This window comes from Homo sapiens, chromosome 22 (genome assembly GCF_000001405.40).
Source record: "Homo sapiens chromosome 22, GRCh38.p14 Primary Assembly".
NCBI lineage: Eukaryota > Metazoa > Chordata > Mammalia > Primates > Hominidae > Homo > Homo sapiens.
The window spans coordinates 21,382,484-21,397,685 of record NC_000022.11 but is presented as its reverse complement, the minus strand read 5'-3'; the positions used below and the strand labels follow the sequence as shown (position 1 = coordinate 21,397,685).

Genomic DNA, 15,202 nt, shown 5'->3' with positions numbered 1-15,202 from the left:
TCAAACAAACAAACAAACAAAAAGAAACGTGTGGTGGAAGAAGGGAAGAAAATTGGCCAGGCACACTCTGGTAGGGGATGGTTGGATGATGAAATACAGACAATAGAAAAACCTAGATAAAGACCTGGCGTAATGGCTCATGCTTGTAATCCCAGCACTTTGGGAGGCTGAGGCGGAAGGATCTCTTGAGGCCAGGAGTTTGAGACCATCCTGGTAAATATAGTGAGACCCCAGTCTCTTAAAAAATAATAATTGGCTAGGCGCGATGGCTCACGCCTATAATCCCAGCACTTTGGGAGGCCAAGGCGGGCGGATCACCTGAGGTCGGGAGTTCGATACCAGTCTGGCCAACATGGAGAAACCCCATGTCTGCTAAAAATACAAAATTAGCTGGGCGCGGTGGTGTGTGCCTGTAATCCCAGCTACTCGGGAGGCTAAGGCAGGAGAATCGCTTGAACCCGCAAGGTGAGGTTGCAGTAAGCTGAGATTGTGCCGTTGCACTCCAGCCCAGGCAACAAGAGTGAAACTCCATCTCCAAAAAATAAAAATAAAAATAAAAATAAAAATAAAAAAGAAATAGGCCGGGTGCAGTGGCTCACGCCTGTAATCCTAGCACTTTGGGAGGCCAAGGTGGGGGCGGGGTGGATCACTTGAGGTCAGAAGTTCGAGACCAGCCTGGCCAACATGGTGAAACCCAATCTCCACTAAAAACACAAAAAATTAGCCGAGCATGGTGGTGGGCACCTGTAATCCCAGCTACTCGAGAGGCTGAGGCAGGAGAATGGCTTGAACCTGGGAGGCGGAGGTTGCAGTGAGCCAAGATCACCCCACTGTACTCCAGCCTGGGTGACAGAGTGAAACTGTCTCAAAAAATAAATAAATAAATAAATAAAACTTTTAAAAAGTAAGAAGAAGAAGAAAAAAAAATATGGAAATAAAAAAACAAGAAAAAAATAATAGGCCAGGTGCAGTGGCTCATGCCTGTAATCCCAGCACTTTGAGAGGCCGAGGTGGGCGGATCATGATGTCAGGAGTTCAAGACCAGCCTGGCCAACATAGTGAGACCTCGTCGCTACTAAAAATAGAAAAAAATTAGCCAGGCGTGGTGGCGGGCACCTGTAATCCCAGCTACTTGGGAGGCTGAGGCAGGAGAATCACTTGAACCCATGAGGCGGAGGTTGCAGTGAGCCGAGATTACGCCATTGCACTCCAGCCCGGGTGACAGTGCGAGACTCCATCAAAAAAAATAAATAAATAAAATAAATAAATATTAATAATAATTTTAAACAATTAAAAAATATGGGATTTTTTTTGAGACAGAGTCTCACTCTGTCGCCCAGGCTGGAGTGCAGTGGCATGATGTCAGCTCACTGCAACCTCCGCCTCCTGGGTTCAAGTGATTCTTCTGCCTCAGCCTCCCAAGTAGCTGGGACTACAGGCACGCGCCACCACGCCCAGCTAATTTTTGTATTTTTAGTAGAGACAGGGTTTCACCGTATTGGCCAAGCTGGTCTGGAACTCCTAACCTTGTGATCCACCCGCCTCGGCCTCCCAAAGTGCTGGAACTATAGGTGTGAGCCGCTGCACCCGGCCAAAAAATATGTTTTTTAAAATAATAGAGATGAGGCCGGGTGTGGTGGCTCACACCTGTAATCTCAGCACTTTGGGAGGCCAAGGTGGGTGGATCACTTGAGGTGAGGAGTTCGAGACCAGTCTGGGCAACATGGTGAAACCCTGCCTCTACTAAAAATACAAACCTGAGCTGGGCATGGTGACGCATGCCTCTAGTTCCAGCTACTCGAGAGGCTGAAGCAAGAGAATCGCTTGAACCCGGGAGGCGGAGACTGCAGTGAGCCAAGATAGCGCCACTGCACTCCAGCCTGGGAGACAGAGCAAGACCCTGTCTCAAAAAATAAAATAAAATAAATAAAATAAAATAAAATAAAATAAAATAAAATAAAATAAAATAAAAAAAAAATAAAATAAAATAAAATAAAATAAAATAAATAAAATAGATGAAGGCCAGGTGCAGTGGCTCACGCCTGTAATCCCAACACTTTGGGAGGCCAAGGCAGGCAGATCACCTGAGTTCAGGAGTTAGAGAGCATCCTGGCCAACATGGTGAAACCCTGTCTGTACTAAAAATACAAAAAAAGTAGCCAGGCATTGTGGCGGGCGGCCAATAATCCTGGCTACTTGGGAGGCTGAGGCAGGAGAATCACTTGAACCTGGGAGGCGGAGGTTGCAGTGAGCCAAGATGATACTACTGCACTCCAGCCTGGGTGACAGAGCAAGACTCTGTCTCAAAATAATAATAATAGGCCGGGCACGGTGGCTCACACCTGTAATCCCAGCACTTTGGGAGGCCGAGGCGGGCAGATCACAAGGTCAGGAGATCGAGACCATACTGGCTAACATGGTGAAACCCTGTCTCTACTAAAAATACAAAAAATTAGCCGGGTGTGCTGGTGGGCGCCTGTAGTCCCAGCTACTTGGGAGGCTGAGGCAGGACAATGGCGTGAACCCGGTAGGCGGAGCTTGCAGTGAGCCAAGATCGTGCCATTGCACTCCAGCCTGGGCGACAGAGCGAAACTCCACCTCAAAAAATAATAATAAAATAAAATAAAATAAAAATAAAAATAATAATAATAGAGATGAGGTTTTGCCATGTTACCCATGCTGGTCTCCAACTCCTTGGCTCAAGCGATCCATCCACCTTGGCCTTCCAAAGTGCTGGAACTACAGGCTTGTGCCACCACCCTGGCCTTAAACAATTATTCATGAAAGGAAGGAAATTCTGACACATGCTGCAACATGGATGAAGCTCAAGGACATTATGCTAAGGGAAGGAAGCCAAAGACCTGCCAGCCGAGGTCCCAGTCCGTCAAGGGCTCCAGTGAGCGAGCAGGATTGAGCAGGTCCCTGGGCTGAGCAGTGGGAACTCTGCTTTGCTGTGAGTGTGGCACGGGTGGCGGCAGACTGTGGAGTGCAGGCTCTGTGGAGCAACTGGACACTCTGTTGAACGAAGTGCAAGGTGGTAGGTTTTTGCTTTTTTTTTTTTTTCTGAGACAGAGTCTCACTCTGTCTCCTAGGCTGGAGTGCAGTGGCATGATCTCGACTCATTGCAACCTCTGCCTCCCGGGTTCAAGCAATTCTCTGCCTCAGCCTCCTGAGTAGCTTGGATTACAGGCGCGAGCCACCACACCCAGATAATTTTTAAAATATTTTTGGAAGAGACGGGGTTTTACCATCTTGGCCAGGCTGGTCTCGAACTCCTGACCTCGTGATCCACCTGTTTCAGCCTCCCAAAGTGCTGGGATTACAGGCATGAGCCACCGCGCCCGGCCACAAGGTGGTAGTCTTTCTCAAGGACGCTGGGGCAACCCCATTGCGTCTTCACCAACACCCTGGTACAGATCCTGCAGCTGCAGTCTACCCCGCATACAACATGTTCAATGATCCCTAGCTAGACAAGGCATTGAAAACTATTCCATAGGCCGGGTGCAGTGGCTCCTACCTGAAATCCCAGCAGTTTTGGAGCAAGGCGGGTAGATCATCTGAGGTCAGGAGTTCGAGACCAGTCTGGCCAACATAGCGAAACACCGTCTCTTCTAAAATACAAAAAATTAGCTGGGTATGGTGGTGCATGCCTGTAATCCCAGCTACTTGGGAGGCTGAGACATGAGAATCACTTGCACCAGGAGGCGGAGGTTGCAATGAGCCGAGATCACACTACTGTACTCCAGCTTGGGTGACAGAGTGAGACTCTGTCTCAAAAAAAAAGAAAAAAAAAATTAGCTGGGCATGGTGGCATGCACCTGCAGGCCCAGCTACTCAGGAGGCTGAGGCAGGAGAATCGCTTGAACCCAGGAGGCTGCAGTGAGCCAAGATCGAACCACTGCACCACAGCCTGAGTGACAGAGTGAGACTCCATCTCAAAACAACAACAACAACAACAATCAACTATTCCATGGGAGGCAGAGGCAGGAGGATGGCTTCAGGCCAGGAGTTGGAGCCAAGCTAGGCAACATAGCGAGAATTCCTCATCTCTACACACACACACACACACACACACACACACACACACACATTAATTAGCTGGGTGTGGTGGCGCATGCCTCCAGATACTCAGGAGGCTGAGCGGGAAGGATGGTTTGAGCCCTGGAGGTTGAGGCTGCAGTGAGCCATGATCACGCCATGACAGAATGAGGACCAGGTGGAAGAACTGAAAACGTTGGGGATCCACACATCCGCTCCATCCTTTCAGATGGAAAGAAATACCAAGACTCAAAAAAATGAGGGTGCCCAGGTCCTCACTGAGCAGAGACTCACTGCTAAAAAAAAGCCTTACCTATTTGGGTTTTCACTAGTAAGCAGTTGGTTTGTAAGCAGTTGGTGATTTTAGTTTGTCTGGGTTTCAGCCATGAATATTCTATTGTAAACTTAATTATAACAACTGCACTGTAATAATTCAATGTCCTATTATGATGTTGTTATAGACAAAATTTGCCTTTACATTGTCATTTATTTTATTTTATTTTTCTTTTGAGACAGGGTCTCACTCTGTCACCCAGGCTGGAGTGCAGTAGCTCAATCTTGGCTCACTGAAACCACTGCTTCCCAGGCTCAAGCGATTCTCCCACCTCACCTTCTCGAGTAGTTGGGACCATAGGTGTGAACCACCATATCAGGCCAATTTTTGTATTTTTAGTAGATACGGGGTTTCAACATGTTGCCCAGGCTGGTCTTGAATTCCTGTGCTCAAGCGATCCACTTGCCTCGCCTCCCAAAGTGCTGAGATTACAAGTATGAGCCATTGACATTTAATCTTCCTTCCTTCCTTCTTTCCTTCCTTCCTTCCTTCCTTCCTTCCTTCCTTCCTTCCTTCCTTCCTTCCTTCCTTCCTTCCTTTTCTTTTTTTGAGATGGAGTCTCGCTCTGTCGCCCAGGCTGGAGTGCAGTGGCACGATCTCGGCTCACTGCAAGCTCCACCTCCTGGGTTCAAGCATTTCTCCTGCCTCAGCCTCCGGAGTAGCTGGGACTATAGGCGCGGGCCACCATGCCCAGTGATTTTTTATTTTTATTTTTTTTGAGACGGAGTCTCACTCTGTCACCAGCCTGGAGTGCAGTGGCGCATTCTTGGCTCACTGCAACCTCCACCTCCAGGGTTCAAGCAATTCTCTGTTTCAGCCTCCCGAGTAGCTGGGATTACAGGCACCCACCACCACACCCAGCTAATTTTTGTATTTTTAGTAGGGATGGGGTTTCACCATGTTGGTCAGGCTGGTCTTGAACTCCTGACCTCGTGATCCACCAACCTCGGCCTCCCAAAGTTCTGGGATTACAGGCGTGAGCCACCGCACCTGGCCTACTTTTTTAAACTTAAATTTTAAAAAAAATTAAGTTTATTTTTAATGTGATTTATTTATTTATTTATTTTTTAGATGGAGTCTTTCTCTGTCGCCCAGGCTGGGGTGCAGTGGCGCTATCTTGGCTCACTGCAACCTCTGCCTCCCGGGTTCAAGTGATTCTTCTGCTTAGCCTCCCAAGTAGCTGGGGCTACAGGTGCATGTCACCACGTCCAGCTAATTTTTTTGTATTTTTAGTAGAGACAGTGTTTCACTGTATTGGTCAGGCTGGTCTTGAACTCCTGACCTTGTGATCCACCTGCCTCAGCCTCCCAAAGTGCTGGGATTACAGGTGTGAGCCATGGCACCCGGCCTATTTATTTATTTATTTTTTAATTTTTTTTGAGACGGAGTCTCGCTCTGTCACCCAGGCTGGAGTGCAGTGGTGCAGTCTCGGCTCACTGCAAGCTCCACCTCCCGGGTTCATGCCATTCTCCTGCCTCAGCCTCCCGAGTAGCTGGGACTACAGGCGCCCGCCACCACGCCCAGCTAATTTTTTTGTATTTTTAGTAGAGATGGGGTTTCACCGTGTTAGCCAGGATGGTCTCGATCTCCTGACCTCGTGATCTGCCCACCTTGGCCTCCCAAAGTGCTGGGATTACAGGCGTGAGCCACCGCGCCCGGCCTCTTTCAATCATTTCTGATGACACCGGAGAAGGCAGTGTCCTTTCCTTATTGTCTCTTTTTTTTTTTTTACCTGGGTATTCTGGAAGTGTCTTTCCTCTGACAGTGTTGTTGGACGTGGGGAAACAAAAGGGTATCAAAGAGAGGGAGAGAAGGATAAAGACCACCCCTCATTCCCGCCCTCCCAGAGGGGCAGCCTGGGGAGTCTATGGAGGAGGTGACTTTGAGCCATGATGTGACCTTAGATGAGGGGCCTCTCTGAGCCTCAGGAAGCTCTTCTGCAAAATGGGGCAAATAAAGAAATGCCCTCTGTGTGCAGTGGCTCAGGCCTGTAATCCCAGCACTTCGGGAGGCCAAGGCAGGAGAATCACTTGAGCGCAGGAGTTCCAGACCAGCCTGGGCAACATAGTGGGACCCCATCTCTACCAAAAAATTTAAAAATTAGCCAGGCATCAGGTGTGGTGGCTCAGGCCTGTAATCCCAGCACTTTGGGAGGTTGAGGCAGGCAGATTGCTTGGGCCCAGGAGTTTGAGACCAGCCTGGGCAACACAGTGAGACCCCTGCTTCTACACACACACCAAATTAGCCAGGTGTGGTGGTGCACATCTGTAGTCCCAGCTACTTGGGAGGCTGAGGTGAGAGAATCATTTGAGCCCTGAAGCTCAAGACTACAGTGAGCTGTGATTGTGCCACTGCCCTCCAGCCTGGGCAACAGACCAAGACTCTGTCTCAAAAAAAGGAAAGGTCCGGGCGCGGTGGCTCATGCTTGTAATCCCAGCACTTTGGGAGGCTGAGGTGGGCGGATCATGAGGTCAGGAGATTGAGACCATCCTAGCTAACACAGTGAAACCCCGTCTCTAGTAAAAATACAAAAAATTAGCCAGGCGTGGTGGCGGGCGCCTGTAGTCCCAGCTACTCAGGAGGCTGAGGCAGGAGAATGGCGTGAACCCGGGAGGCAGAGCTTGCAGTGAACTGAGATTGCACCACTGCACTCCAGCCTGGGCAACAGAGCAAGACTCCATCTCAAAAAAAAAAAAAAAAAAAAAACGGAAAAGAAGGCCGGACGCAGTGGCTCACGCCTGTAATCCCAGCACTTTGGGAGGCTGAGGCGGGCGGATCACGAGGTCAGGAGTTTGAGACTAGTCTGGCCAACATAGTGAAACACTGTCTCTACTAAAAATACAAAAAATTAGCCAGGTGTAGTGGTGTGCACCTGTAATCCCAGCTACTCGGGAGGCTAAGGCAGGATAATTGTGTGAACCCGGGAGACGGAGGTTGTGGTGAGCCGAGATTGTGCCATTGCACTCCAGCCTGGGTGACAGTGCGAGACTCTGTCTCCAAAGAAAAAAAAAAAAGGAAAAGAAATGCCATCCCAAGGTGATCCCTCACAGGAAGTGACTCAGAAAAGCAGTGAGCTACGAAAGCTATCTGAATGAAGCAAGATCGTCATGTGGGAGACACTGACTACCCACTCCTAGCAAAGGGCTCAGCAGCACACGGCCTCCCTGCGGGGATGCCCTCGGGGAAGATGTGGCCCAGAGGAGTTTTTTGGGCCTTGCTCCTCAGTCCTGGCTCTTAGTAGGACCCTCTGCAGCCAAACTAGCATATCCTGAGCCAGGCTGACCTTAAAAAGTAAGCATTCAGGGCCTAGGGACCTTGGGCAAAGCAGAGAAGCTGGTGTCAGATGAGGTGCCGCACGTACAGTAGGATAAGGTGTTCTCAGGTCCCCAGTGCAGCCCCAAGATGAGCCTGCAGTATTTTCCTTACATGATCTGGTCCTACTGTGGGCAGCGCTGCTGCCCAGAGCCTGAGAGGATTATGAAAACATGGCAACGGAAGTGAGGCCAGGGGACACAGCATGGGGGCATGAGGAGCAGGGGACAGCGGGTGGGGCTAGAGGAGAGGGAGGTTTAGGGAGGCCTCTGCTGCTGTGACTGTGAGCCCCAGCCAATGATGACGTGGCCACCGCACAATCTGAGTTCTGGGAACCATGTGATGGAATGTGTTCTGGGAATAGACTGCAGCCAGGAAAAAAAAAGCAGAAGGGTGCACCCTCCCTTCCTCAGCCAGGAAAACATTTCTGTAGCCCTTGCGGACCCAGTGCGCAGAAGTGAGAGGGAGGAAAGCCAGGCTCATGTTTCCTTGGTTGTGCTTCAACTTCTAAAATATGTTTTTTCTATGAACATTTTAATGAGGGGTTGGACATAAGACAGAAAAATAACATTCTGAGAGCTCGTTTGGAGGTTCTAGCAGGGGAGCGCAGCTACTCTTATACTCTTGACTGAAGACCGATCGTCCTCTATCGGGGATGGTCATCCTCTTCCATTGAGCACACAGCTTCTGGAGGGACGCACATGGAGTGGTGAGGGAGGAAGGGGATACCCGCCTAGTCAGCCAGATCAGCCGAATCAACCCTGATGATCAATGGGGTGACACATGTCGCAGCCAGATCACCCTCACATCCCAAAAATAACACTCAGATTGCTTTTTCTTTTTTAAGATGTAGACTTTTCTTGAGACTTTCGTACAAGGCAATGGACAGATAACCTTAACCTCCCAGAGAAAACACACATTGGCCACAGAAAAAGGCGCTTCTCCGTATACCTGCCATAGTTATCAGCAACTTTGAAATGGCTTCTCAGACTCTCAGGGGTTGGCTTGTTGTGTTTGCTTTTGCAAATAACTCAGGCTTAAGTCCTGCTACTTTCAGAGCCTAGGGGACGCTTAAGGACTACCATCAGTTTAACACAGTGGCACTTGGAGCACATGCTACTTATGGTGGTGAGGAGGGGTGCTGGTGTGAGGGTCTGAACGCTTGCTTCTCCTCTGGCAGGGTGTGAGCAGCCAGAGGCCACTACCTGGGCAAGGATGCTTGCTCAGTGTCCATGGAGGGACATGTGATCCAGCAGGTGGGCAGGAACCAGGCCCCTGTGGCCGCCCAACTCTCCATAATAGAATCCTTGGTCATCCATGGGCCCGTAAACCATGACCACGTCTCCTGCCCTCAGCGCCAGCCTGCCCTTCCCCTGGCCCCCCATTTGCCCATCCCCAGGATCATAGTCCAGAGCTGCTATCATGATCTTTGGAGTCCACAGTGGGAGTCTCTTGGAGTTCCCCTGGAGCACCAGGGAGGAACCCTGGGGGATGGTGAGCCCCTGAAAGTCCTCGAGGTGGGCCACAGAAGGCAGGTGCCCTTGGGCCGGAGAACGCCACCTCCTATCAGTCTGCTCTGTCCCCACCTCCATCTCAGCCACTAGGCGCCCGGGGATATTGCCCACTTGCCTGTTGCACTCGCTGAGGTAGAAATCATGGGTGTCCTGAGAGCCCCACACTCTTAGCAACTGCCTTTTCTGGAAGACCAGCTCCTCCTCTGCAGCCTTGAGGTTGGCAGACATCACCAGGGGGTTGTAATCAGAGAGGGCCACAAAGACCCTGGCTGGAGTGTTGGCCCCCGTCCCCAGCTGTTGGGGGCCACCCCTGGGCATCTTGATGACTTTGGCGGATGGAGCTGGACACAGTGCCGAGCTGGGCTCATGGAGCTGGCACCCTCTCTTCACCCCCAGAGCTTGTCCTTGCCTGCTGTGGGGCTCAGGCTCCCTCCTCTCCTCTCGCCTCTCTGTGCCCCGCAGATCCAAGCACAGTGCCTCCTGCTCCTCCTTCAAAACGTTATGGAAGTCAGATGCATACTGTTGGCTGGCGCCCAGCTGGGGAGGTGTGAACCCTTGGGCATCTTGCTTTTGCCGAAGTACCCTCTCAAGGGCAGCCTTTTCCTGACACGGTTCTTTCCTGGGCCCACACTCGGTGCGTAGATGGATGAATCCTGGAGCAGGGCTTTTGCTGGTGCCCATGTGCTGGTAGCAATTTTCCTTCTCCCCAGGCTGGTCACTGACTGAAGGTGGCCTGTGGTTCTGGGGACTCTTCTGAAAGAGCAGGTCCTTTCTACAGCCCTCCCAGGCCTCTGCAAGCTCCTGGGCTTGGCTGCCAGCCCCTGAACTCGGACATTCTCCTTCTGAGCCCAGGTTGGACACTGGGGATTGCCTCCTTGGGGGTTCTTCAAAGAATGCTTCTAGGAACTTGGCCTGGGGCTCCCCGCAGCTTCCAGGGTTGTGGGGGCTGGCCTTGGCACTCGGAGGAGCCAGTGACAGCTTCTGGGGGCAGACGGGGAAGGTGACTCTGTAGGTGGATGGGTCGCCACAAGTGTAGCTAAAGGGTGGAGTCTCTGGCCATCGGTGACACATGAAGAAGTCCTCGGGGATCTGAGCAGGCACTGAATCCAGGGACTCACCACAGAGTGACATGGTTCTCACTGAGACCTTCTGCCACGTGAGGGGCACCTGTAGCTGGGAGAATTCCAATACGGTGCTCCCAGCAGTGGCATCGGCGACCTCACAAACCTTAAGCCCATCTGCATACACAGCATAACCGGTGACCTGGACTCCATTGGAGGACCCAGCTGAGTCAATGGTCACAGGGAGCCAGCTGACCACCAGGACACCTGGCGAGGCATGGCGCTCCACCAGCACCTCCAGCGGTGGGTAGGGAGGTCCTGCCAAGAGTGTGTCGAAGGTGACGGTGGAGGACATAGTTCCCCAATACACCTGCAGCAAGTCCCATGGCAGCCGCACCTCCACCCGCACCCGGTAGTGCGTGCCGGGGCACAGGCCCTGGAAGGTGTAGCAGCTCACGCCCGCTGGGGTCAGGGCATGCTCTCGGTCATCAAGATATACCACATGGGGGTGGCGGTGGCTGCTGTAGACCCAGGTGATGTTGGCTGATGTGGCTGTGACATTCTGCAGGTGTAGCTGCATGGGAGCCATACGGAGCACCCCTTTGGTCCCCAGAAGGGGTCTGGAGAGGCCCTGCTTCCCCATGCTCTGCAGCAAGCCCAGCTGGCAGGCTTCCGTCTTGGTATCCAGGATCTCTGTTGCTACTTCTGTCTTGGAGCCCACCCTGACCATCTGGCACAGCCCTCTGTCCACCATTCCCTGGGCTTTCCCAGATAATAAGCTGTCTTCCTCCAGAGCTTCATCCTGCCCCGCTGGGAGTTGACTGGGGCCAAGATCAGGGGATTTGGCAGGCAGGCAGCCTGGGATGTAGCTGTCCGGAATCTGCTCCACGAAGTTGGAGGGCACCAGCCCCCGCCGGCCATCGTCAAGCTCCCCCTCATAGAAGCCATCCTCATCCATGTCCCCGAAGATATATATGTAGTCCCCAGCTGTGAGGGGCAGCTCACCCTCAGGGTGATCATTGGGCCCCTCAAATGGGTTGTAGTTATACTGAGCCATGAAGATCTTGAGCTTGGGGGCAGCAGGAGCCGCCGAGCCCCCCATTTCCAGGGCCAGGGACACGCTGTCAGGCTCCAGGTCATCCACCTCACTGGCTGTGTCCCTGTCCAGAGTAGGGGAGGACGGCACGGTGGCCCACATCGACCCCTCAGAGGAGGAGTTTGACTGGGAGCTGGTTTTCTTGGACAGAGGTTGGCTGGCAGGGACTGTCTCTGAAACTTGGGGGACACTGGCTGACTCCCCAAGGGCAACTGGGCTCTCCTCGAGGGAGGCTTCCCTTTTCTCCTGTATGTCTCTGTTGGGCTGTGACACTGCGTAGTCTTCAGGCCGTGCGTGGAACTTGGGCCTTCTGCTACCTTTAACTTGGGACTCCGGCATTTGACTGGTCTCCCAGGGCTGTTCAGGAGGGTGACCAGGCCGACACTGGAGCGCCTGTATCTCCTTCCAGGAAGGATGGAGGTCACACAGGGCCTTCTGCGGGTCGCGTTGCAGCTGCTGCTGCCTGTCCTGCCCGCGCGCCGCCTGCTGCAGCAGCTGTTCGGCGATCAAGCCGGAGGCATCGCGCTCTTGACACGCGCGGCCCAGGTGGCCGCGCACTTCGCTATTCTCAGCCTCCACCTTCCGCACCCAGTCGGTCTTGGCCTGCAGCCGCCCATTCTCCTCCGCCAGCCAGGCGTTTTTGAGCAGCGCCGCCTGCAGCTGTGTCTCGGCCTCCTCGCCACGTCGCCGCGCCGGGGCCGCCTGCGTGCCCAGCTCCTGGCACTCGCGCCGCCGCTGGTCCAGCTCGCGCTCCAGCGCCAGCATCTGCCGTCGCACCTCCTCGCAGGTTGCGCTCTGGCCGCCCGCCTCGGGCCAAGCGCCACCGTTGCCCTGCTGAAGCATCAACTGCCTCTGCAGGCGCAGCACTTCCCGCTGGGACTCGCGCTGCAGGCGGTCTAAGTCTCTGACGTTGAGCCACTGGGTGCAGGGGCCGCCCCTTCCAGTATGCAGGTCGCTGCAGGGACCCGAGGCGACACGCGCCTGCAGGAGGTGGCACTCCTGCCGCAGCTCTTCGATCTGCTTGTCCTTGGCCAGCGGCGCGCTCGCCTGCTCCGACAGGTCCCGAGCGCGCTGGCGGGCAAAGACTTGGCACAGCTCCAGGCCGGCGCAACTCTCGCCGGGTATAGGCGCGCTCACGGCCCGGAGGTTGGTCTCCTGCAGCTCGCGGGCGCGGTCAGCTAGGCGCCGCGCGAGCCCGGTCAGCTCCGCGCGCTTTACCTTGAGCCGCTTCACCTTCTCGTCTGCCTGGTAGGGGCAGCCTGCACGCCGCAGCTGCTTGTTCTCCTCTTGCAGGGTATAACAGCGGCGCGCCAGCACCCACAACGCCTTGGCCAGCAGCCAGTTCAGCTTTATCAGCTCGTGGTGGCCCAGGCCCGGGGGTGAGGGAGTCAGGACTTCGCAGGGCTGGCTCTCAGAGCCTTCTCCTCCCCGCGGGTTGCTGAGTTTCCTGTGGGCTGACGGTGGTGGTGGCGGCGGGAGTGGCGATGGTGGCGGCGAGAGCCTCCGGGAGCCAGGGGTGGAGGTGTCTGGTGAGGAGGGCCGCTCCTCGGATTTGGAGGCCTTGGGGAGGCTCCGGGTGCTGTCAAGCGAGCGGGAACACGCAGGTGCGAAGCAATCAAGGGAGCTGGCGTGCGTGGAGAGCAGGCCGTCTGGGGAGCTGGAGCACGCAGAGGACACCAGGCCTAGCGAGCGGGAGCGCACACCGACTTCAGCACTCAGGCTGTCTAGAGATCCGAGTTGGCAGGCGGGTTTGGGGGCGTGGCAAGAGCCGCTGGAGGTCTGGGGCAGCGGTTCTTCCAAGGAATGCACAGCTTGGGGGTCCGGTGATCCCGACAAAGCCGGGTGCCCGCGGAAGTGCGCCAGGATGTACTTGAGGAAGAGCTGGCGCTCCACCTCCAGCGCCGCCTGCAGATAGCGGATGCGCGCCGCCTGCTCGCCGTCAGTCTGCCAGCGAAGCTGCGCCAACACTTCCTGCAGGCGACAGCGGCACTGCGCCGCGGAAACCTCGGACGCCCCCGGGCGGCTACAGTGGCCGCGGTTCACCAGCTCCTCGGCCAGCTGGCGCTGCAGCTCCCGGGCTTGGCGCACCACGCCATCGCGCTCCCGGTGCAGCAGCTGCTGCAGCTGCCGCTGCTCGGCCTCCTTCCAGCGCAGCAGCTGCCGGATCTCGGCCTCGCGTTCCCGCTGCATCTCCTCTTGCAGCTGCCGCAACTCCCGGCTGCGCTGTGCCTCCCACTTGGAGCGCAGACGGTCAGCCAGCTGCCGCCGCTCCCGCTCGGCCTCCTCACGCAGCTGGCGCTCCCGGGCAGCGAAGCGCCGCCGTTCCGCCCGCCAGCCTGCCCGCTCCGCCTCCAGCTCCGCCCGTAGCTTCTCCAGCTCCCGCCTCTGGTTCTCCAGCACTGCCGCCGCCGGGCTGGAGCAGCCCGGCTTCTTGGGCGACGCGCCCAAGGGGCTGGGCGAGTCCTTGGCCATTGCGGCCGCGGCCCGGCTGGTCTCCAGACTTCGCCTGGCAGGCCTCAGCTCGCCAACGGCCGCCGCCGACCGCCCGGCGCGCCCCTTCCGGCGCCCCCTGGGGGTCTCCGCGTGCCCCTTCCGCCTCTTGGCATGTTCCCCCGCCTCCTGCCGCGGATGTCTGGCCCAGGCGCCTCTCCACCTGGCAAGGCCAGGGCTGGACTCCCACACCCCTGCTCAAACTGGCCCATGTCCCTTCCAGGATGCACGGGGGCTTTTCCGGTCCCTACACTTTTCCTGCTACTAGCACCAAGTCCCTTGTGACCCTCCCCAGGCACCCTCCCAGGCACTGTGCAGTCCCAAGCAGGCCGCGGTGCCCCGAGGGAAGTCTGGGCTGCTGCTCCTGTACTTGGAGAAAGGGGCAGGGTGTGTGTGTTAAGGCCACCCATGGGGTGTGGGCATACCTGGTCGTGGGTTCAGGTGGTGTATTTGGGTCAGGTGGCTGGAAAATGCAGCAGGATAGGCCTCAACTTGGCTAGACCTGGACTCCCCAGGACCCTTCAGCCCCCTAACAGCCCTGATCACCCAACTGGTCATCCACCTTTTGAGGAAAGGATGTGCCTGATACACATTTGTGTTACTGCGCAGAGTCGGCTCAGAGGAGGTGTAAGCGAAAAGACCCTCCCCAGCAAGGTGGCATAGGGACCCAGGGCCAGATAGGCATGGGGGCACTGCCCAAACTGGCCATCTGGCCTGTCTACCTCCCACATCCAGGTACCACCTGGTGACAAACACTGGAGCCCCAGTGTCTGGGCTACTCATTGGCATCTTAGGTAGAGGCCTCAGGATGGGCCAGGAGTGAGGGTGAGGCTTCAGCAGAAATGTTGGAGGCATCCTGAGCTGCAGAAGAAACACACACACACACACACACACAGCTGCAGAAGAAACATACACACACACACATACTGAGCTGAAGGAATACACACATACACTGAGCTGCAGAAGAAACATACATACACACACTGAACTGAAGAAATACACACACACACACACACACACACACACACACACACACTGCCTCTCTGACTGGTGGCCACCTGTGTGGCTTGGGAGCTAAGAAGCCCTGCTTCAGTCTGGCTCCTCTTTGCCCTTCCTGTCTGCTCCTGGTGCCAAGTGGCTTTTTGGAGACATGGATGGACACCTGATACCTGGCAGTCTGCATTGAGACATTGATTTTGTTTTTTGAGATGGGGCCTCACTCTGTCGCCAGGCTGGAGTGCAGTGGCGCAATCTTGGCTCATTGCAACCTCTACCTTCCACGTTCAAGAGATTCTCCTGCCTCAGCCTCCCAAGTAGCTGGGATTACAGGCTTGAGCCACCATGCCCAGCTAATTTT

At 55.0% G+C, this 15,202-nt stretch overlaps 1 protein-coding gene, 2 non-coding genes and 1 pseudogene across 3 annotated transcripts; 2 read left to right on the top strand and 2 right to left on the bottom strand.

Moving 5' to 3' along the window:
* Positions 1-7,747: 7,747 nt before the first annotated feature.
* Positions 7,748-7,890, top strand: LOC124905172 (small Cajal body-specific RNA 17). The gene has a single exon (XR_007068176.1).
* An 85-nt stretch (positions 7,891-7,975) lies between these two features.
* LOC124900483 (small Cajal body-specific RNA 18) lies at positions 7,976-8,058 on the top strand. Its single transcript, XR_007068173.1, has one exon.
* RIMBP3B (RIMS binding protein 3B) lies at positions 8,208-13,935 on the bottom strand. Its single transcript, NM_001128635.2, has one exon. The coding sequence runs from the start codon at positions 13,825-13,827 to the stop codon at positions 8,908-8,910; it is 4,920 nt and encodes a 1,639-aa protein (NP_001122107.1). The 5' UTR covers positions 13,828-13,935; the 3' UTR covers positions 8,208-8,907.
* On the bottom strand, positions 8,258-8,495 carry RN7SKP63 (RN7SK pseudogene 63; annotated as a pseudogene).
* Positions 13,936-15,202: the final 1,267 nt, after the last annotated feature.